Here is a 24,930-nt window from a genome sequence, read left to right on the forward strand (position 1 = left end):
TTAATAGTATGAATTAAACCAGGTATGATAGAAGCTCTGGAGGACCAAGAATGGAAAATTAAGTGGAATCCAAGTTTCATACACAGGCAAACTGATAAAGGGCAATTGGGGCAAGATACCTACTACCCAATAAATTTAGTAATTTTTAGTCATTTAAAATAGCATTAAAGTAGAAAATGTAGATTAGTTTCTGAGGAGGAAAGAAATTAGGATGAGACAAATAATATATGGAGTGATAAAATTTAATAAGGTTTTCATTCTGTACTCAATTTTTATTCTTGTTTGTATTCTAACAAATGTACTTTCTATATTTATATATTTATCTGTCTACATTCAGAGCCTGAATATATTTACTTATTGACCAGTAGAATGCATACACTTAAAACTTTAATAATTTTGAAACAAGTCAAATTACATAACTGTAACATACAGCAGATCACCAATTCACAATCATCTCTACCTTGGTTCATCTTTACACAAGTACTTGAATTCCCTTTAATGTCTCTTTAGAAGTTCATAAACTATATCTAGATCTCTGCTACAATTTTCACAATTAATTGAAGTTATACCAGATAGTAACTTAATACAGTATATTCTCCCAATTTTCTAGAGTAGCTAGTCTCCATGACCATTTCAAAATAGCTATTCATAATTCACAAAATGCCTTTATTCTTTGGCCCTTCAACTAACTGATTTGTACACAGATAATAAATCCAACAGGTAATATTGTAAAGTAATATTGTAAGAAGAAAGTTTTAAGACGATTAAGTAGTTGCTGTCCACTGGAAATAAAAGTAGACTTATAAGGTCTTATTTTTTAAATGAAACTTTATGTAACCTTCAGGTTGTATTTTTTAAATAACCTTAAATGCTGACACCAACATTGAGAGGCAGTGTAAAATTCATGGTTCAATACAAATCATCCTGCATTAACAGTTGAGATCTAAGTTCTGGCTTGGCTCAGGTGCCTGCTATCCCTATGACCCTGTGTCTTAGCCCATTTGTGTTGTTAAGGAATACCTGAGGCTGGGTAATTTACTGAAAAAAAAACAAAACAAACAAAAAAAAAAAACAAAGAAGAAGTTTATTTGGCTTACAGTTCTGCAGGCTGTACTAGAAGCATGGTGCCAGCCTCTGCTTGGCTTCTGGTGAGAGCCTCAGACCACTCATGGCAGAAAGCAAAGGGGAGCTGGTGTGTGCAGAGATCACACAGCAAGAGAGAGGAAGCAAAGAAGAAAGGGAGGGAGGATACCAGGCTCTTTTAAACAATCAGCTTCCAGGGGAGGAAAAATAGAGCAAGAACTCATTACTGCAAGGACAACGCCAAGACATTCATGAGGGATCCGCTCCATGCTCAAAACACCTCCAGCAATGGGGATCAAATTTCAACATGAGATTTGCAGGGGTCAAACAAACCACATATAGCACCATTTCTAAGTCATTTAGGATTTTCGGAAACTCAGCATACTATATTTTATGAAAATCATCATATAATCAGAATATCTTTCCCCTGACACACGCACATCCACACCCAAAGCTATACCTCTTCTGATACAACTATGTTCTCCATAACAATAGTGACTGTGTGTCTAATGCATAAAATGAGTTTGTATGAGAAATAGCAACTTCAAGAATAAAAGGCCTAGCTTAACAAGAAGTAGCAAAATTTCCAAACTTGGGTTCCAAGTGGAACGATTCCAATTCAATTAAACAGCTATTTTTATTTAGTGCCCCCAATGTCTATGTGAGTGGGAGCGTATCTCAGGCAGAGGAAAAGCTCAAGAAGGCTGGGAGATGAGAAAAGACTGCATATGCAAAACACAGAAAACACTACTATTGTTACTTTTAAAATGTGTGTGTGGCAGGGGGAGGTGGCAGTGGCTGTAGTTGTGGTGCAGATGCCAGCCATAACTAGGAGCAAAATTACACAGGGCTTTGCAGGCCTTATTAGTAAATTTGGACCTCATCCCAAGAACACTCAAGAGTCATTAAAGGGTCTAAGCAATGGCGTGGCAGATTCATTTTCTTTCTTTCTTTTTTTTTTTTGAGATGGAGTTTCACTCTTGTTGCCCAGGCTGGAGTACAATGGCGCAATCTCTGCTCACTGCAACCTCTGCCTCCCGTGTTCAAGCAATTCTCCTGCCTCAGGCTCCTGAGTAGCTAGGATTACAGGCATGCACCACCACGCCTGGCTAATTTTGTATTTTTAGTAGAGATAGTGTTTCTCCACGTTGGTCAGGCTGGTCTCGAACTCCTGACCCCAGATGATCTGCCCGCCTCAGCCTCCCAACTTGCTGGGATTACAGGCGTGAGCCACCACCACACCTGGCCCCTCATTTTCTGTTTTTTAAAAACTCAGGCTGCAGCACACAGAATAGATAGCAAGTGCACAAGGTTGGAGACAAAGAAACCAGTTAAGAGACAGCTTTGGTAATCTGAAATGATGGAGGCCAAGATTAGAAGGCAGTACAACAGAAATTAAGAGTAAATCCTCTGAAGTCATTTGCCTATATTCAAATCCCTCTTTTTCCACTTACCAGGTATACAATTTTAAGCAAAGTTGCTTCCTGCTATGGTTTGAATGCTACAAAAAGCATGTGTTGAAAACTTATGCTAACTGTTGCATTGGAAGGTGGAGCCTAATGGAGATGTTTAGGTCATGAGGGTGAAGCCCTCATGAATGGATTAATGCTCATTATAAAAGAGCTTGAGGTTGCAACTTCCATCTCTTGCTCACTCTTGCCCTCTCTTACCCTTCTGCCTTCTGGCATGGGATGACAAAGCACAAAGGCCCTCACCAGATGCTAGCATCATGCCTTTGGATTTCCCAGGTTCCAGAACTGTGAGCCAAATAAATTTTTGTTCATCACGTTACCCAGTCTGTGGTATTCTGTTATAGCAGCCCAAACGGACTTAAATACATACTCTCTCTACAACTCAGCTTTCTCTTCTAGTAGTCCAAAGATAAAAATCTTCACAGGATTCTTGCCAAAGTACAAATATAATAATATATATACAGCAGTTAGCATGTTGCCTGGCACAGAATAAGAATGCAAATGTTTATCATCATTATTAATGCAATGTGAACAGAGAAATGAGAATATAACTAGAAGATGTTTAGGAGACAAAAATTGACAGCTTGAATAAAGGGAAAAGAGATGAGTTTACAGCTTCTGGCTTAGAGAGTAACTCTATTTGATTAGATGAGAAACATAAACGGTTTGAATGTTCTGAAGGTTTGAAGCAAAGTATAGTGTTCATTCTTGAATATATGGATTGTGAGAGACAGGCCAGTAGGCAGGCAAATATATAGCTCTAAAGTAAAGGAAACAGATCAAAGCTGGAGATCTGAGATTCAGAGAGACAGATGGTAAGTCCTTTGGTGTTGGGAAGAAACCCTAGGGAAAGAATATGCAGAATGAAGAAATGATGACACTAGGTAGAACTTAAGGAACACCAACACTTACAGGACGTTGAGAGCAAGAGGCCAGAGAAATAAGAGAATAATAGTGTGATATATGAAAAGCCAAAAGAAAAAAAGTATCTCAGAGAATATTCAATGTCAATACTGCCAAGCAGTGAAACAAGAACTGAGAGTTTTCACTGGATTTGGCAACAAAGTATTTATTCACACAATATGCATCAAGCATTGTGCTAGACCCTTGAGATACAGACATGAATAAGAAAAATAAGACCCTTGCACAAACGGACATTATGTTGTGAAGACAGTAAACTAGCAAACAAATCAAATACACATTGTGATAAGGATGGTGAGCAGAGAGTGACATGATAGGGAGTAAAAGGCAGAGGCCAGCTTCAGATGGGGAGTTTGGGAAGGCATCTCTCTGAGGAGGCAAAATTTAAGCTGAAATCTGAGGCAGGAAAGGGCATGGTCAGAGAACTGAAAGGAGTTCCATATGGCTACAGCACAATGATGGCGGGAAGACGGAGAGACAGAAGCTAGACCATGTTTGTAGATCATGCTCAGGACATAGAAGAATTTAGATGACCCACTGAACAATTGTAAGCAAGGAAGCTAAGATCACTGTAGCTAATGGTACTTAATAGCTTGGATTTTCTCATTTATACTAGTCTTAATAATCAGAAATAGGACATTTTACTAAGTTTCAACCATTAACTGTTTATTATAATAATAATGAAAATAAGCTTTTGTATCTAAAAGGATACTATATGGTTACAAACATGTTACCTATCGCATTAATTTTACTAATCCCCTTTTAACCTTCCTCCATATTTCTTTCAAAGATATTTCTCATACTATCTGTTTGAGTCTATCAAATTTCTCTGAGGTACTCACTCATTTTCAAGCAATGTATATCAGAATTTGAATGTTTTATAACAACATGACTAAGCAAGATGTTACTAAAATCCATATGGGTCAGTAACATACAAAAAACCTGATGAAATTATTTTTAAAAAGTTTATATTCCACAGAGTTTCAGTTTCCTATTTCCTTAATCTATGTATTTATATACATACATACAATATAGAAAAGTTGATGCAAAAAACATTGGCTTGAATCTGAGAAGCTGAATTACATGTTCGTATTATTTTTTACTTTCCTCATCTGCAAGAGGAAAAACTTATGGTCCTTGCATATTTTAAAGACATTAATAAGAACAAATGCCATCGTTTTCAGGTAGTGTGCTAGGCACATTACATTATTTTTAATTATCCTAATACCCTTCAAAAATAAACATAACTCTTCCCATTTTACAGATGAAAAAATAATCTCAGTGAGTTTATAGGTGACTTGCCCAAGACTACAGACCTGAAATTTAAGCCCAATACGGCAGGCTCAAAAACTCTGGTTACTATACCGGATGTCCCAGACTGTTAACAGATTGAGTTCCAAAAAAAAAAAAAAAAAAAAACTGTCACATATGAGATATTAAATCATAAAAATAGATTTTTAAATGATAAAAATGTTTTGTTCAGTTGTTAATAAACTGTGTGCAACTTAGAAACATTAGCCAAACACACCATTCTTATACAGGTATATTTTTCCCTTCAGCATAATAATTTGATTTCCATTTTTTTTAATATTGGAGAAGAGAGATAAAAGGAGGCCGTAACAGATAAGCACACTGTATTAAAGGTCCAAGAATTAGCACTGAGACACATTTTTTCCAGTTAATCCTTAATACAAATATTAAATCCAATTAACTACCAGCAACCCACTACCTATTCTCACAAAATTTGTTTCTCAAAGTTAAAAATTACAAATGGCTGGCCTACGATGTTCCTGAATCAGAAAAACCTAACTTCTGATTAAAACCTCTAAATGTCACTATTTCTGTTAACTAGAAAGGAAACAAGTCTGAATAAAAGTACCATAATTTGCTCTAAGCAGAATCTACAGATTTATTGTATTGTGAGCTATTCCTCCTAAGATTTTTCAGGTAGCCAAGTCACCCACCAAGATACTGTTTGAAGAAGACTAGATATTTAGCAAAATGAAACTGATGCCAGATTATTTTCATTTTCCTTAATAAAATACAAACAAGAGCACAAAATTCACTTATATATCATCATTTTATACTTATAAATAATGCTCAGAATTCAAATAGGGTCAAGTGCAGAAATATTTCCTATATGCTAGTGTGTAAATATAAACTAATTATATACATAATGTGCCTTTGGCCCAGTTGTAAAATAAAAGACATCAAAAAGAAACACTGCAGTTGACTGTTTCATTGCATTCTCACTGAGAATTCGTACCAGTGCCAACGTAGTTACAGTTCTACTTAACTGTTCCACTGCATTCTTATTGAGAATTCGTACCAGTGCCTATGTGGTAACAACTTTCATACCGCTTAATGTAAACACCTAAATAGACATTTCTCCCAGTTGTAAATATCTCAGGAGCTAAAATTCTATCAATTTTTAATAATGAAGTAGTCAAAATCTTAACCAAGTTTCATTCCTTAAAACAAACACAATTAGAGAACTTACTCTTAACCAAAGTTCTTCCTATGTCAAAATGGATATTTACGGGTTATACATACAGAAAACAAGAAGGCAATCATGTTTGCTTACTTTTAGAATGGACAAAAAAGTATCTAAAAGCTGTCTCAATAGTGTGGGTCTTTGTACATTCAAAAGGATCTTACTTCACTGATATAACTTGCTTTTAATTTTAATACCCAGTATATATAACTTTGAGATGTTCAAATAGCTAGGCAATCTGAATTCAAATGATACACAAGCATACCCTTAGAGGGGCAAAAAAAGTAAGTGCCACCGAAAAAGCAATAACTGACATCAGTAAGACTATAAATATCCAGTTGAAGGCACGTGGAAGCATTTACTACTCTGCCGTCAAAGATTCTCCACTTAGTTCAGGATCAGGAATAGAATCAGCTCCAGGAACTGTGGAGTTGGTTTCAATCACTGAGGCTTCCTCATTCTCAGTCTCTTGTTTCTCCTCTGGTTCCTCTGAGTCAGATGCTTTTTCAATCACTTGGTTTGTCTGTTCTGTAGCTGGTATTTTGTCATCTGTCTGCTCTGTATTATCATCAAGAACATCGTGTTCTAAAGATTCTGAAAAGATAAAGATTCAAAACTTTAGGAATACCTGAACGTTAAAACTGCTAAATAAGGCAAGCAAAAAAGATAAACACACACACACACACACACACACACACACACACACACACACAAAGAAACCATACAATTGTCTAACATTATCCTTAAAATCTTTTACAATAAGTACATAACTCTCTTTACAGTTAGTATGATAGAAGAAAAAAAAAGTAATTCAGAGGAAAAAAACCCATAAATATACTTTTTCTAATGTCCCATATTTTCATACAAAATAAGTTACTAAAGACACATCTGAAAGTTGAAGTCCAAAAATCATAGTCCCAACAGAATTATGTGCTATAATACAATAGTCCAGCAAACAATGCAAATGTATTAATGTCCAGATTACATTTCCTGAAGAAACTGTTTCCCTTGTGTCCAGGCAACCCTGTGAGTAATATGTAAATGTGTACTTTGTGGGTGGGTGGGTGGGTGTGTGTGGGTGTGGGTGGATGGTGCGTTCCTACACTGATATACATCTCTATTATCCAAAAACTGGGAAGTCAGGTTTCTATCTTTTCCAAAGGCATGACTAGTCTCTCCTCATCCCTCTGCAAGACAAGTCCTCTGTATTTAACCTCTGGGTCAGAATGTACTACATACCTAGCATGTTAGGGAGAGAAAGAGAAGGGTCTTTTAATCCCATCTCCATAGCAGAAGTTAAGGGTACTAGTCCCTACATGAAAATTTACTCCTTTTAAACTCTCTAAGTATTATTGAATTCAAATCCCTTAAAAATAATATAACAATTGTATTGAATAAACTGCCTTTAATTCTTTAAGGTTTAAAGAACAGGATGGAGGAGGGAATGACTGGAGCAGACAACCTTTGGGCCACCCAATTTCTACATTAAAGATAAAAATCTAGCTTTAAGGTATTTCTTTGTTTATGTAAAAAACAGCAATTAGTATTTTTGCTAGTAGAAATATGGCCAAACCATATCAGTTGAGAAAAAAAGCATATTTTTCCACTCTCATAGATGATTTCTTACGATATACTACAAATGTTACTGATTCAAAAACTCTGGAGGGAAGGCCAGCCTTAGTAAAAAGTTCTAATTAAGTTCCTTGTATAATAAAGGTCAGTTTTGCTAAATAAATAAAATTGTTTTGCAAAGAAATTATGTGTTATATGCACATGTGTTAATATGGAAGTCTTAGAAATCCATGGTTTTACCATACAAGTTTATCTATAGCTCACATACTCTATGCCAAGACTTTAAAAATATTTAAAAAGAATTATTTCTTTAAAGAGATACCTTGGACTCTGGCTTATATAATTAGTTATAACCACCTTCCACCTTTTGATATGTAGAATAAAGGCCCAAATTCTATAGTTTTACTATATGAAAACTTCCTATGCTCACAAAAAATAGTAAGGAATGTCCATAAATTAATTTGTGCCAAATCTCATTTTTAAAAATCCTATCTGTATCTTAACATGGCACTTAAAATGGCATTGCTACACACATGGAATTTTATAAAAATCCAAGTTAGAAAACAGTAAGTCACTTGAATTTTGTTATTTCAATGTTCCAGAGCAGAAAGGAAAAGCAGAAAGGGCAAATGAAACTACAGGCATGTACAAATCATTTCTGCTACAAGGGCAAACAAGTTATCCGTGGAAAACTTCAGGAGTCACCAATCATTTGTAATTCTACCCTCACAGAATGTATCCAAGACAGAATGTTAAGCGTCATGGTTTTCCACAACTCTCTGGCCATAGAGCAGTATTTACTTGGCAAGAACTTCACAATTTCTTATAGTTTAGTAAGCCTTCTGAAACAAACCAATAAAGCCACAAGAAATGAAAAAACAAAAAGCTAAGAATCCAGGATGTAACTCACCAATAAACATGTTTAAGTGAAAACAGGCCCACATAGTTTGTCATATTCTGTCTGACAGACTGCCTCAATACTGTACTGAAACAGGAGAGGTATCAAAATTCAAGGCTTGTCATATTAAAGTTTTGTGATGTTACTATTTTCAAAAATAGACTTTACTAGTCAAAGCCGATTTAATGTACAAATTCTGGGGCCACAAAGAAATGGTTAATACAAGGAGGAGAACTACAATACTGAAATTTTTAAATGTCTGCAATACAAGAATTCATAGAAATACCATGTGCTATCATAATCAGAAAACAAGATACACGAAGTCTTCCAGTCACTACTGTATTTCAGAGAATATGTGGAAGACTACAAAATTGGTGAAATGGGTGGAAATTGAAAATAATCAAAGAGCCTATTAATGATTAAGTTTCTTCCCCTGGGTTAATTTGCAGAAAAGCAATTTTTTAATGGCAGTAACACTACAAAAAATTGGTATGTGACATGACATCTACAATGTAGACATCAGGTAGTCTAAATAAGATAGGTATTGATGTTTGGATGCCAATGCCATTTTGTAAGAAGTCATCAAACAAGATCTAAATAATTAAGTGTAAATGATTAACAGAGAATTACATATAAATTTAATAATCACAGAGCTTTATAAGATTATTTAATGTGTTACAAACATACTTTTTTCATTTTTATGGAAGCACATCATTTGCCCATTCTAACAAAAACAGCAAATTTCTTCCATGAAGTTGTAGTTTAAAACAGCTTGGTGGAATAAAATATATTTCGCAAGATGTTAATATTTGGGCATAAAATACTATAAGAGAAACCAGGCTTTGTGTTCACACTAATTAAACAACCCTACTCTTCCCTTTATGGCCCAGTTTAAGACTAAGACATGAAACAATTACCTGAATGACCTAATTCCATCTGTAAGAAAAATTTTAAAATCGACTCTGGCATCTATAATGTCAAGAAAACAATATACCACAATGCCATAAAACAAAAAATGATCCATGCAATTTCTTTCCCCACTCCTGCCATCACCCCACCCCAACCTCAATATTCTTGAGATATTATTATTATTTTGTTTTACCAAATAGTAACAATTGGCTTCCAGTTGTTTGGGCAAAGTCTCAACTCAGCTAGAAAACTGAAACTCATAAAACAGTGTAATTATATAATGAATATCACTGCCCCACCTATAAACTACACACATGCAAAAACATGTAAAGAATATCATGTTTAGGTTTTTACTCTAGTTCTTGAAAAAATAATTTCTTAAGAAAATTAAATAATAGTCTAGCAAAACAACTTCATATATTTTTGCCTTGCTAACACATCAGTACCCTCTATCTATGTAAGCTACAAACTTACCCAAAGGAACTGTGTTAAATTAAAATTGACAATATGTCTTTAACTCACAAGTTTTAAACAAGGCACTTTTTACGAGATTTTCCTGCCTTAAGGAAAATGGCTAACTCATATTTAAGAAACAAAGGTATAAATTTCACCCCAACTCAACCCAATAACTCAGTAAATAAAATTCAATTAAATTATAACCACTCATAATAGCTAGTATTCATCAACATACAGAATACCATTTAATTATTTACCATTTCTGAGCAAATCAATTAGACAAGTTAAGGGTTTTTTTTTTTTTTTTTTGAGACAGAGTCTCACTCTGTCACCCACGCTGGAGTGCAGTGGCACAATCTCAGCTCACTGCAACCTCCGCCTCCCGGATTCAGGTGATTCTCCTGCCTCAGCCTCCCATGTAGCTGGGACTACAGGTGCACGCCACCACACCTGGATCATTTTTGTATTTTTCAGTAGAGACGAGGTCTCACAATATCGGCCAGGCTGGTCTCGAACTGACCTTGTGATCCGCCCGCCTTGGCCTCCCAAAGTGCTGGGATTACAGGCGTGAGCCACCGTGCCTGGCCAAGAGTTTAATTATTAAGCAATGATCTAAAACTAAACTATTAAGTGAAAGTGTTTTAGAAAAGGGAGTGAGACGGCCAAAAGATCTCTGTGTCTAAAACAAACATGCAAAAACATACTACATATCTTGAGAAGGCTGCACATAAGTAAATATAAACAAAGGTATAAAAAGATTATTTAATGGATCTGGTAAATACATGGAATACAACAAAATTTACATTATCAAATAGTTTAATTTCCTGGAGCATAACAAAAATACTAAGAATTTTCCCTTGTTCAGCGCAACCTAATGGTAACAGTATTTTGCATAAAAGAAAGAGAAGGACTAAAATCATATTATCAAGTTAAATTTTACCTTATATAAATTTCACTTGCTATTTTTGATAGTATTGATTAGATGCCATGAGTTTTATTATTAGGAAGTTATTTCCAATTGGACAAAAACTATATTCTACTAAAATAACTGCATGAGACCTAGACAAACACAACTGGGCAATAAAAACACAATATTAACAGTAACATTTTGTAAACATGCTAGCCAAAAAATCACTGCATTAGAATATCAACAATGTAGAAACCTAGTACTCTAATGATTATCACATACCATAAAAAGAATGCTTTTTTAAAAAAAGGTAAAACTGATAAACCACCTTAATGTAACTTAGCAGAGATTCAAGTATTACGGTACTATCTATTTAACCATAAAAGAAACTGAGGAACCTAAAAGCAGTTCATTTCTTGCCGTATTTAGTATGCCCTCAAGCAAAAAGACAATCTATATCCATAATTTCTTGTATTTCTCTAATAATCTATTACCAAAGCATCTGGATGTAAAATTCCAGAAAAAAATATTCCAGGTATTCAGGTGAGAAATTAATGAGAGAAATTTCTTCTAGGTCTCCTCCTTTGATGAAAACTTTCCAAGATTCTGTATGTTTTTCTAAAGAGCGGTCCAGAAATTTTAACAGCTTTGTGCCCCATCCTAAATGCGAAATCTTCCAAAATCAGAATCCAGGCAAAACTTAACTTCAAAATCCTTACATCACAGATTGAAAAAAAAATATTTCTTCTATTAATTCTTGATTGTTCATAAAAATGGTTACTGATATTTGTTTAAAGAAAAGTTTGGATGGAAGAAAGTTATCTTTTGGTTCCATCTGTAACTTCAATAACTTCATCTCTACACTTTCTGCTGCTAAGAAGGAGCCACTGCAATACTTTTAATAATATAAGAATTAAAGCAGAAAAGTTTTTTTTTCAGACCTCAAGTATCTACATCATTTAAAAATCAGAAATCTAAAACACTGTCTGTTAGCAAAGAGTAGATGATTGAGATGATGTGGTCTTCATTAATAGTTCAATATACTCATAAGCCACCGGGGTTCAAAACAAATGCAGCTTCATCTGTTCATCAGATATACTTCTAGTTGTTTACTAAAGGAAGCCAGCTTGGAATTGATAACTGTGTGTCACAGTGTTGAGTTAGATGTCTTGAGAAAAGTTTCAATCTTCTGGAAAGCCAAAGAAAAAGATGCTCATAGCCACTTTGATGAATCCAAAGAGAAGTATGAAAGTTATTATTCTAGAAACTATCTTAACCAAATGGAATTGTTGCTTCAGTTTTTAGCATTATGGAGTTATCAAACCCTGCCTCCAGTTTTGTCTTCATGTAATAACATTACCTTATTGGGGTTGGGTTTGAGCCAGTAAGACTTCTTTCCAGGAATTTCAGACAGAAAATGAGACGTCTGGGGTATTGCTCCTCCTAGATTAGATGAGAAGGATAGGTATAGCTGGGTGTTGTTTGCTAACTATCTATCTTGACCTTAGCAGAAGACAGAAAGTATGGGACTCATTATCAAGATTTTCACTGTGTTGACTGTTTCTTCCTGTCTTTTTTTTTTGTCCCAACTATTAGCTTACAGATATTCACTTTAGCTTCTATAAGCAGGGCTAGTCATGGAAAAGACTTCAATTTTTCCTCTAGGCATCTTCAGTATGAAATCCTTTAATTTTCAGTTCCAAAAGGCTGCAATGGCAAGGCAGATGGTTTGCATGTGACAGCATGCAGCTCAGAGCACGACTTAAGCAAAAGAAAAAAATTGACATTTTGTTTGAAGGTGATGCTGCAGACTTGGAGAAGATGAATGCATTGATTCAGTGTTGGAAGAATACAGGCCTCTGTCATAGCTATCTGTATTCAAATTCACTTTGATATTTGTTAGTAAGCCAAAAGCCAAGCCCAATTCAACACACACATTTTAGGTTCACTCTTCAAAGTTAAAAAAAAATATCGATACTCAAATCCCATACTAAATTTCTGATATCTGAAAATTCACTGCTTCATATAATATTCTCAATTAAAGCAATTTTTACAGTACTCAATGTTTTTATGAAGAAAATATCAAATACATGTAAACGATAATTCCTAGAAATTAAAATAATTAATCCTGACTGGTAAATAAATTATGTGAACTAAACTTCTAATATGCATTTTTTTCCATATCACACATAGCAACAAAACATTATGGCCTGTTTCATAATTGTGGCAATCTTCATAATTCAGAGCTAATTAACAAAGAGCTCCTGACCAAGTATTAATACTGTAGCAAGAAAGAGCTGGCAATAGTCTAATCTTCCACCTCATCTTTTCCATTTTTTCATGAAACTTCCTCAAGAATTCCTAAAACAGAATTGTAAGATGAATTCTAAAACCCAATAAATTCTGATAAATTATTTCTCTAAAATAAGGTTGATTTTTACATCAAAGGCAATGTTAATCTTCTGAACCTTTAGAAAATTGTTTGTTTTAATGAAATACCAGTCCTATTGATACAGTAATCCAAAAAAATGCAAGGATAACTTTATAATTCCAAAGTTTCCTGCTTTCTGGTAATTTCTACCAATTTGTGTGGTAGATACAAACCTATTTTATCAATATTAATCACAAATCTTGTATTTTATCCTTTGAACAGTTGTTTCATAATTCCAATAATCTGTTTCACTCAGATAAATTGAAAAACTTAACCCATGAAAATATTACTAATCAAATCTCCCAACAGTTTTTAGAAAAGGTCACTCCATAAACAGTATTTAACTAGCTGATGTTAGATGTTGCTTATCACAATACAACCTGCATGTTAAAAGTGAAACACATCACACCTATCACACAGGAGGCTATGGTAACAGAGCCGTAGTTGACATATGCATGCAGCAAAATCTGATAAATTAATCCATCTTTATCTAAAAGCATTATGCTTTTATTACTGTTAAATAACACATGTTATTAAGGGGCAAAACTGTTTAACATATTCATACCTTCATTAAACTGGTTGTCTGATGAAAGCACACTTCCTGATGGCAAGGGACCAACTGAACTTGAACCTTCCACCACCTGCCTCTTCTCAAAACTAAACTCAGGAAGTCTTGGAGCCTGAGGTCTGGTTTTTCTTGCAGGGTTCAAGAAAAAACAGTAGGCACATCGAAAAGCTGCAGAGAATTTTTTAAAAATAAGCAAAACCACAAACCAAGCAAAGTTCAAGAACTAATTAGTTAACTCACAAGATCACTTTTGCAGATATTCAAAAGAACCTTTTAAAAGTTACTGTGTATGTTATTTAAATAATAATATGGTAGATGCTCTAAACAGAACTAAAGCATACTTCCTAATTATTAGAATTTTAATTTTTAAAATTAAAGGCAGAAAAGGCATAACAGGTTACATAGCAGGCTAACTATGTAATAAGTTACACAGCAGGTTGACAGCAGAATAATATTAATGATTTAAATGAATTAGTGAGATTACATTTCTAGTAACCAGAATCATTAGGTATTTTAAAATCCAGAAGCTTGCACATTTACCCATGAAAATGTAGTACATAATATTTCAGAAGCATTTTCAATTTACCACAGTAGTTTTTAATAGTGGCTACACATGAGAATCATCTGCAGAGCTTTAAAAAATATACTGATGCCTGGACCTCATACTCAGTCCATTAAAGGAGACTCTTTGTAAATGGGTCCTGGGTATCATAATTATTTTAAGCTCTTTGGGTGATTGTGATGCACAGTGGGGTTTGAGAACAACTGGCCTAGGGGCTGTACATTATATAGGAAGAAACCTGAATTGTCTTCCCTGCTTTGCTCTATGTACTAAAATAAGGATAATATGCCTAACCAATGTATACAAAGAGAGTATATAAAATAAAATGACACTGCATAGAAAATGGCATAGAATAAAATATTTAAGCATAAAATATTTAAATCTCATTGCCCAATAATTCTTACCAATGTATTCAAATTCTTCCTTCAAAGCCATGCCATTATGAGAAAAACACTGCTGACATATAAGTGCATACCTACACCGTAAGGAAAAATGAACAGACCAGTTACAAATGCAAACAAAGCTCATGACAGAGACTAATTTAGCCATCATGGCTAATTTATATTTTAACACAGCTAAATATGCCATAACAAATTATATGAGACTTAGTAAACAACAAACAATATTCATTAAATAAAAGCCAAAATTAACCAAAGCCCAAATTTCAAGCATTTAAAAATATAATTTATACATCAAATTTAAAATAAACTAACAGTTAAATGAATATATCTTTATTAAATTAGCAGAAACATATTTGACAACTGAACACTTAAATTTTGGTGTTTCCCAGAGTATAGTGCTGGGGATGAAAGCCTCCAAATCTGTGGTCAGATAAGGCTGGAAAAGTTGGAACCCTCTTAGAGATTCACAATGAATATTATTAAAACCTGAGATGTCTTGCGGCAAACAAACATATTTAATTTTGTTTAGTACAACCCAAAGATTAATTACTATACATGATTCTTATACCTTTCCCAGTTACACTAAACATCTATTTATATACTTTCTCAGTTCTCTGTGGATATACTCAATGAATACTTCGCTATATCAAATGTCATTCTATTTTGAATAACATACGATTTATTACATAAACACTAAATTCTCATTCCTTTTTTTAAATAATATTAATTAGGAGCGCTGTCAAACATCTATTATCCGATGAATTTTTTAAAAATCTATACTTTGACAATTGCTCTGTACATATCATACGATCTTCCTAGAGTTATTTTAAGAATAATTGGAAAAGCATTTTGAGAAATAAATACATGCAAATTGCTCTTAACATTAAAAGTACTACTATCACCAAGTCCAGTACTGATACCTATAAAGCTCCACTTCTTAGAACCTATCAGAGTTGAACTATGTTTTTGCTTTTTAAGTTTAAAAGTTTCAATGAAATAATCCAGTTTCTCTAAAAGTTATAGCAGAGTTAATATTTTTTCAAAATGGATTTAATCCAGACTATGTTGTCAAAACTTCTACTGTCAAATAATTGAATATGTACTCTTTTGCAGGGCTATAAAATACTCCACTATGCTCTAAAGTCAGAAAATAGGTGCCACAAAACTAAAACATCTAGTGTGTACACACACACACACATCCTGTTTTCATTTTCATTTATCTACCACCTTAGTAAATATTACCTGTTTTGTGGACCATCACCAACCAAATATTCAACAATTCTATCCAAAGCACCTCGTTCTCGGGGGAGAATAGGTCTTGCTAAAGGTGGACCTGGAGGATGAAGACCTATTAAATAAATAAATACATACAAAATTTATATACATGAAATACACATAAAATTTAATTCCATTACCAAGAACTACCTATACTTGTTAGAAATTTTAAAAGGTTTTAACAAAATAGCAAAATACTAATTCTTATAAATCTCTGAAGAACATTCAAATTTTCATTAAAAATACTGTACTACAAAATATATTTAAATATGTGCTATATTAGAACTACCTTTGCTAGTAGATTCTGTAGTAGATTCCTACATAACTACTAGCAAATAAAATTATGCTTAGTTCTGTACAAACTGATGTTTTTAAAATGCTCCAACTCTTAAAAGCCTACGTGATAGTAAATCAGGGGACTTCCACTTCAGGCCATAATAGAGCAACAGGAGTCAGATTTAACGTCCCACCTAAAACAATTAAAATACTGTGCAAAACATATGAAGTAACAGTTTTAAAGACACTGGATATCAAGCAATGTAGGTTATTGTTCCCTGAGAAGACTAAAAACAAAACATGCCCTACAACTGCCCCAGCTTATTGCCTATAGAGAGTTTCCACTCGGCAGTGAAAAGAAAGTAAACCCAGATGAAATGTAGCAGACTCTCACAGTTGAGGAGACAAAGCCAGAATTCTGAGAAGGCCAAGGCATATTGAGTTCACAAGAAAGGGTACCAAGCAGGAGAGAAGGCACAGAGAAAGAACAACAAAGATTTGCAGAGGGTCTACTGGAGAATTCAGCAGAGTACTGACTGGTGCATGCATGTGAGAAAACTATCTGAGGATGGAGGAAAAAAACTACTCAAAAAGGTGAAAAGAAACAGCATTCATACAGGGCCAAGAATATTGCCCATTTCCAATCAGAGTGGGAGAACCTCCTAACACACAGGCCATTAGGTAAAGTATTCAGAAGAGTACTGTATAGGAATTTTTAAAACCCAGTATTGAATAAGGTAAAATTCACAATCTCTGGCAACAGATTAAAAATTACTAGACATGCCAATAAGCAGGAAAATATCACTGATAAGAAAAATCAATCAAAATTGACCCAGAAATTATGAAAATGACTGAATTAGTACACAATATTAAAACAATTCTTATGACTATGACTATATTTCATATGTTTGAGAATCTAAAGATTCAGTATGCTAAGTAGACATAAAAAAATGTAAAACTTAAAACCAAATTGAACTTCTACAGATAAAAACTACAATGTCTAGTATAAAAAAAATCCACAGATTATGTGTACAACAGTTTAGACACTGCACACAAAAAAACTGGTGAACTTTAAGACATAGCAATAGAAACCATACAAAATGACAACCAGGCGCAGTAGCTCATGCCTGTAATCCCAGCACTTTGAGAGGTCGAGGTAGACAGATCACTTGAGCTCAGGTGTTCAAGACCAGCCTGGGCAATATGAGGAAGCCCCATCTCTACAAAAAAAAATACAAAAATTAGCTGGGTGTAGTGACATGCACCTGTAGTCCCAGCTACTCAGGAGGCAGAGGTAGAAGGACTGCTTGAACCCACGAGGTGGAGGCTGCAGTGAGCCATGATCGTACCACTGCACTCCAGCCTGGGTGACAGAGCAAGACCACAGAACAGTCTCAAGCAGCCTAATATATTTATATTTATATTTATATTTATATTTATATTTATATATAATTGGGGTCCATCAAGAAGAGGAGAAAAATGAAGAAAAAGACAAAACTATTTAAATAATGCATATTTTCCAAATTTGATTAAATCTATAAACCCACAGATTCAAAAATATCAACAAATCCCAAATACAAGAAACATTATTTTGCTCCAAGACAGTGCATGAACAAATTGCTTAAAACCAATAATCAAGAGAAAAATCTTGACCGGGTGCAGTGGCTCATGCCTGTAATCCCAGCACTTTAGGAGGCCGAGGTGGGCAGATCACAAGGTCAAGAGATAGAGACCATCCTGGCCAACATGGTGAAACCCTGTCTCTACTAAAAATACAAAAATTGGCTGGGCGTGGTGGCACGCGCCTGTAGTCCCAGCTACTTGAGAGGCTGAGGCAGGAGAATTGCTTGAACCTGGGAGGTGGAGGTTGCAGTGAGCTGAGATTGTGCCACTGCACTCCAGACTGGGCAACACAGCGAGATTCCATCTCAAAAAAAAAAAAAAAAAGAAAAAGAAAAAGAAGAGAGAGAGAAATCTTAAAAAAAAAAAACAAAAAAAAAATACATTATGTACAGAGAAAAAGATAAGAATGACAGCAGACTTCTCATCAGAAAAGACGCAAACCAGAAAACGATGAAACAGTATGTTTAAAGTTCTGAAAGAAAAAACTGTCAAAAATGTTATATCCAGTATGAACATCTTTTTTAAATGAAGACTTTTACAGATATACAAAACTGAAAGAATTCATCACTAGAAGAACAATACAAGAAATGTTAAAAAGAAGTCCTTCAGGCAGAAGGAAAGTGATAGCAGATGGAAAGCAAGATCTACACAAAGGAATAAAGAATCTAAAACAGTTATCATGTGGGTAAATATATAAGACTTTTTATTATTTAAATCACCTTAAAAGATAACTGACTGCACTCTATTATGCATTATATGTAATCTAGAGATGATTTAAAGTATATGGAAGGATATGTATAGATTATATGCAAATACTATGCCATTTCTTTTAAGAGATTTGAGCATCCGTGGATTCCAGTATCCACTGGGGGATCCTGGAACCAATCGCCCATGACATATACATGTTCTTTCAAGTAAATATAAAACATTTACCAATACATGGCATTCTCAGACATAAAACAAGTATCAATACACATAAGAAGATTCACGTAACACAATGTATGTTTTCTAACAAAATAATTAAATTAGAAATCAGCAGCAGATAAACATCTGAAAAATCTCCAAATATTTGGTGACTAAATAACATACATTTGAATAACCCAGGATTCAAAGAAAAAATGAAAATTAGAAAGTATTTTGAACTGAATGAAAATGGAAAAAAAATCAAAATTTATAATATGCAGCTAAAGCAATACTTAAAAGAAAAAATTTATAATATTAAACACCTATATTACAAAAGAAGATAGGACTAAAATCCATAATTTCAGCTTCCACATTAAGAAACTAAAAAAGAAGAGCAAATGAAACCCAAAGTACAGAATAAAAGAAATAATAAAGATCAGAGAGGAAATTAATACAACAGAAAATACAAAAATAATAAAGAAAAGCTGGTTCTTTGAAAAGATCAATATAATTGTTAACCTCTAGCCAGACTAATCAGGAAAAAAAAAAAAGAAGATACAAACTATTAATATCAGAAAGGAGAAAAATGCCATAACTACGGATTGTAAAAACATTAAAAGAATAATTAGGGACTATTACAAGCAACTTAATGCCAATAAATTCTATAGGTTAGATAAAATGGACGAATTCCTTGAAAGACTACCAAACTACCGAAGTTCACTCAAGAAGATAAAAATAATTATGTTAAAATTTTGTTAGGAATTTTTGCCCCTATGATCATGTGTGATATTGGTCACAGTTTTTCTTAAAGAAACTGAATTTTTAGTTAAAAAAAAAAAACACCTTTTTCTCTCAGAAGAAAAAAAAAAAAATAACCAGGCCCAGATGCTTCAACTGGTCATATCTTTAAAATTAAGGAAACATTTAAATTAAGGAAGAAATAATACCAATTCTACACAAATTGTCCAGAGAATTGAATAGGGAATACTTACTCATAACGTTATGAAATGAAACCGACATAACTCTGATAACTCTGATAACAAAACCAGACAAAGATATGACAAGGAAAAAATAAACAAAAAAACCACAGACCCAATATTCCTAATGAGTATTGATATAAACATTTTTAACAAAATATTAGCAAATCGAAGCCAACAATATGCATATAAGATAATTCATCATGATCAAGTGAGATTTATTCCAAGAAAGCAAGTTAGTTTAACATTTAAAAATCAATGTAACTCACTATATGAACAGGCATTAAAACAAAGAAACAAAGCCCAATATAAACATCTCAATAGATGTAGAAACAGCATTTGAAAAAATACACAATCTATTACTGATTTAAAAGAAAACCTTCAGCTAACTAAGAATAGGTGGGCACTTCAAGCTGATAAGGAGTATTTATTAAAACAAAAAACCCTAGAGCTAACATCATGCAAAACTGTGAAAGAATAATTGCTTTTCCCCTAAGACCAACAAAAAGGCAAGGATGTCCACTCCTAGCACTTCTATTACCATTGTACTGAAGGTTATAGCTCATATAATAAGGTAAGAAAAATAAATAGAAGAAAACCAGATTGGAAAGGGAGAAGTAGAATTTTCTTTATTCAGACAATGTGGCTATGTAGAAAATACTATGTAATCTACAAAAAAGTTATACTAACTAGAGCCAATAAATTAGTTTATCAAGGTTATAGGATACAAGAGCAATATACAAAAATCAATTGTATTTCTATATACTAGCAATAACCAGTTGGAAATAGTTAATAAAACAATACCATTTACAATAGCATTAAAATATGAAATTAGATGTAAATTTAACCAAAAAATGTGCAAAATCTATACACCAAACACTACAAAACATTGCTGAAAGAAATTAATGACATAAATAAGTGAAGAGAAATATACTGTGTTCATGTAATAAATTAGACAATATCATAAGATACTAATGGTGAGTTGGGAGTGGAGGAATAACACATAAAATTTAGTTAATAATTTTTATTTTATATAAAAATAATAACAAAAATAAAGAGTTACACATTCAAACATTATGAATTGTAACCCTATAACCTCTGAAAACTGAAAGAGAACTATTTGCAGGAGATACTCTGAATTGAGACAACACAGAAGGCACTGAGAAGACAGTGACAGAATAAAATAAAATGTGATGTTTGCCTTTGTAAAACAAGACAGAATGAACATGATAAGGTGGGCAGCAATGGAGGTTTACATGGAGACTTCATAGAAGACTCTGAAACAAAATGGAACCCTGTTGGAAGATGCCCTGCAATATAGGGATACAAGGGTTTCAAAATGGCTATGACAAAATCTTTCAAGTATTCAAGATGGCTTTAGGATAGCAATACTACATTATACTAAATTCTTATAATTTAAAGGAATAAAAAGGAAATTTGATTTGTAAATAATCACAAACTTAAAGGCTATTACCATCTATAAAAGGGCAACTGATGTCAAAATTATAGCTATTAGTAAATAAAAGTTAGGTTCTAGACCAAGTTCTTAGTATTAGAAATCAAGTACACTTTGTTTTTTTTTTGAGACACAGTGGCGATATCTCAGTTCACTGTAACCTCCACCTCCCAGGTTCCAGCAATTCTCCTGCCTCAGCCTCCCAAGTAGCTGGGAATACAGGCACCTGCCACCAGGCCCGGCTAATTTTTGTATTTTTAGTAGAGACGAGGTTTCACCGCGTTAGTCAGGCTGGTCTTGAACTCCTGACCTCAGGTGATCTGCCCATCTCCGCCTCCCAAAGTGCCGGGATTACAGGCGTGAGCCACCGTGCCCGGCTCTCAAATACACTTTTAAGTTTCCATCACTGGCAGGGCACAGTGGCTCACACCTGTAATCCCGGCACTTTGGGAGACCAAAGTGGGCAGATCACCTGAGGTCAGGAGTCTGAGAACGGCCTGGCCAATACGGCGAAACTCCTACTAAAAATACAAAAATTAGCCAGGCCTGGTGGTGCCCACCTGTAATCCCAGCTACTCGGCAGGCTGAGGCAGGAGAATTGCTTGAACCCGTAAGGCAGAGGTTGCAGTGAGCCAAGATCCATGACACTGCACTCCAGCCTGGGCAACAGAACAAGACTGTGTCTCAAAAGAAAAAAAAAAAAAAAAAAAAGATTCCATCAGCTAAGTTACTGGTTTACTTGTGCTAACAACATTCAATTATTATCATCAAAAAATAAACTTGAATCCAGACATGGTCATCCCTCATTATCAAATTTTCAACTTGAATAAGCAAGCCAAATTAGATTTGGAAAGCATTTAAGCCAACTTAACTTGCAAGAGTATTTTACTTCTACATATTTAAAGTGAACATATCCACAAAAGAATCTGGATACATGAAATAATAGATTTCATAAAAATATCTTAAACCTCTTGCACATGCACCTTTATATGCATGCTGTTATAGACAATGGTAATTAACACAAACATCAAAAGCAATCATTGTAGGAATACTGGTCATTTTTACACAGCTTGGCAAATTATCAAGTACCTGCTGGTTATTAATTTTCAAACATATGGGAGCTCTGTGGTAATACACATTAAATTGATTCTCTTCCACAAATATGGCATAAAGAAAAAACTAAGTATTAATCTTCTTTATAATAAATTATTTAACTCATTCACATTTTTGACAATGTACAATTTAAACACAGTCTTTCACACAGAAACTAATTAAAAACTTCAGTAAAACATGTTATATTTACATGATCATAAAATCTAGGCTATTATTCCTTCTATAGCCCTATTCTTACATGTGCAATACAATTTTTATTACTTTATATGTTGCTAAACTTTTTGCTTAAAATAAGTTAGATATACAAATGTATATAATCCATACATTCGCACCCAAAAAAGTTCTTTCATTAAACAACCAGGAATTTTAATTTACAAATCATGGGTATCTCAAATCAACCAGATAACAACAGAAACATTAGTAATTTTCAATCAATTTAACTTTTCTCAATTTCATAAAATATATGGCTGCCTTAAGTATTGTCATTATATGTCAAATTTAAAAGTATTGTTTTATGTAACTATTTTAAAAGTTTTAAGATTTGTATACATTTCATTTATAGTCAGTATTCTTAATTTGTTAATAAATGAAGAGTTTTTTTAGTCTTCTAAAATCTTATGCTGCATTTTTGAAGGAAAACAGGAAAAACATCTACTGTACTAAGTGACATTTCCATTTTTTATTGATTTTACTACACAAATACTCTGATTACCTGATATCAGCTACTGCCTAGCCTCAAAATCATTATTAATTATATATTAGTAATTAGTCATGAAATAACAAAGTAATCTACATTAGAATAATCTAAAACAAAATAAATAATTTACTAACATATGCAACAATATGACATGGAAATCTACATAAAACAATGTGATCTGTGCTAAAGCAGTGGACTTCCATGCCCCAGTCACACTCCAAAAGAAACTGGAGGGTACTATAGTCTATTACACTTCAGAATGGGATCTTCCCCTAGAGATCCACCACAGTGAAAAGAGATAATCTATGAAATAAAGAGAATATGTTCATTTAATAGAGCTTTATAAAATATCTATCAGAAAATACTAAGGTTCTATGCCTTAAAAAAAAAAAATCTACTAGCCCACATTAACAAAAGTATACAATACAGGAGTATTATTCCTGAAATATGTTGTCATGTTTAAAAATATATGTATGGAGTTGAGCAAAAAACATCAATACATTCCAAAAGTGTTTTCTTCTATCCCTGTTTTATATAAATCTGGAGGCATTCTAAAGTTGAATATAAAAAGATATGCTGTACTGTTGGCTACAGAATAATACAAAGTTTTATTGCTATTTAAACAAAGAAGCCATAACAGTTAAATGAGCTCAAGAAATAGGTTTCAGTATCACAAGGTGCCAGCTGTAAAGAGTTATGGCTAATTGAATATGGAACTCCTGCTTAATCAGATAACTGCTCTGCTATTTCCAAATGAAATGCCATTTCCATACCACCTGAAAATGGCCCGTTTTATTGGTAACCAGAGAAAACAATATAAACTGTAAATAACATTAAGTGCTCTGTTTACCCATTCCAGGCACTGAAGTAGCAGGGGATCCAAGATGTCTTGGTAACACATTTGATGATAGGGCTGGAGTAACAGTCCTTTCTGGGGGTCCACCAGGGGCAGAACTGTCCTTTGGTGGTCCAGGAGATACTGGAACTTGTGGAGGAGGGCCCTGGTTAGGGCTTGCTGGTGTTGGAGAAAGGTTTCTTTGAGCTGCAGTTCGCTGACGAATCTCTGAGAAGAGTAAGTACATACTAGACTTAATTTCCAATATACCATATTAGCCAGTATCACAAACAATTTATATTTATTAAAATTTTACGCCCCAAAAGGCATTGTAGTGTCAAAATTACTTATAATAATAAATCTATAATATGTGACATTGAAAACAAAGTACTCTATTTCTGAACTTACAGTTCAACTGTACATGTTTACACAACAAGCCATGATCTAAGTGTAGCTACTGATACCACTTTTCAAAACAAATCCAGTAAAATGAAATCACCCAATTATGTGCCATGTCTTTTTAAAGTAATCTTCCTCATCATAATAAAGGAAAGAAAGTTTATCAGAATTAGTCAAAACTCCAAATTGCAGATTTGTTTTTCAAGATTTAAAAAACTAAAAACTAAGCGATAAGTGAATAAGTATATTCTGGAATTATCAAAGTAATTAATCTAAGTAGTCATAGAAATGCTGAAAAAGTATTTTTACTATTAGGTACCATTTCCATTCTCCTTTATGGTATTGCTATCCTTTTGGCAAATTTGTTTTGGCCAAAACATTCAACAGATCTACTCCATATAAACAACATTTCATCATTAATACATCTTAGCTTATAGTTACAGAAATTACAAGATTCTCTGTAACAGGGGTCAGCAAGCATGCCAAATTCAGGCTGCCGCCTGCTTTTGTAGTTTTATTAGAACACAGGCCAGTTCTTTTGTTTACAGATTGTCTATGGCTGCTTTAGAAGAGTAGAGTAGTTGCAACAGAGACCATATGGCTCTCAGGGCCATTTAACTATATTTACTATCTGGCTCTTTACAAAAAAAGTTTCATGACTTGTACTCAGTAACATAAAATTGAATTCTATTATTCTCTATT

General features: G+C 33.7%; 1 protein-coding gene across 11 annotated transcripts in view; it reads right to left on the bottom strand.

Annotated features, from left to right (window-relative positions):
* Positions 1–246: 246 nt before the first annotated feature.
* The window catches only part of LNPK (lunapark, ER junction formation factor), a 78,939-nt gene continuing 54,255 nt past the window's right edge, over positions 247–24,930 (bottom strand). For 6 of the 11 annotated variants that reach the window (XM_006712783.3, NM_001305011.2, NM_030650.3 and 3 more), the window contains 5 exons: positions 23,845–24,057; positions 15,917–16,022; positions 14,678–14,748; positions 13,709–13,879; positions 247–6,564 (listed from right to left, as the gene is read on the bottom strand). In XM_006712783.3, coding sequence (XP_006712846.1) covers positions 6,332–6,564; positions 13,709–13,879; positions 14,678–14,748; positions 15,917–16,022; positions 23,845–24,057 — 794 coding nt within the window. In that variant the 3' untranslated portion in view covers positions 247–6,331. Of the gene's footprint in view, positions 6,565–8,452; positions 8,528–12,072; positions 12,156–13,708; positions 13,880–14,677; positions 14,749–15,916; positions 16,023–17,352; positions 17,446–23,844; positions 24,058–24,930 lie in introns of all 11 variants that reach the window. The other 5 variants (NM_001305010.1, NM_001305008.1, NR_130941.2 and 2 more) reach the window with 4 other exon arrangements.

Source organism: Homo sapiens, chromosome 2 (genome assembly GCF_000001405.40).
Source record: "Homo sapiens chromosome 2, GRCh38.p14 Primary Assembly".
NCBI lineage: Eukaryota > Metazoa > Chordata > Mammalia > Primates > Hominidae > Homo > Homo sapiens.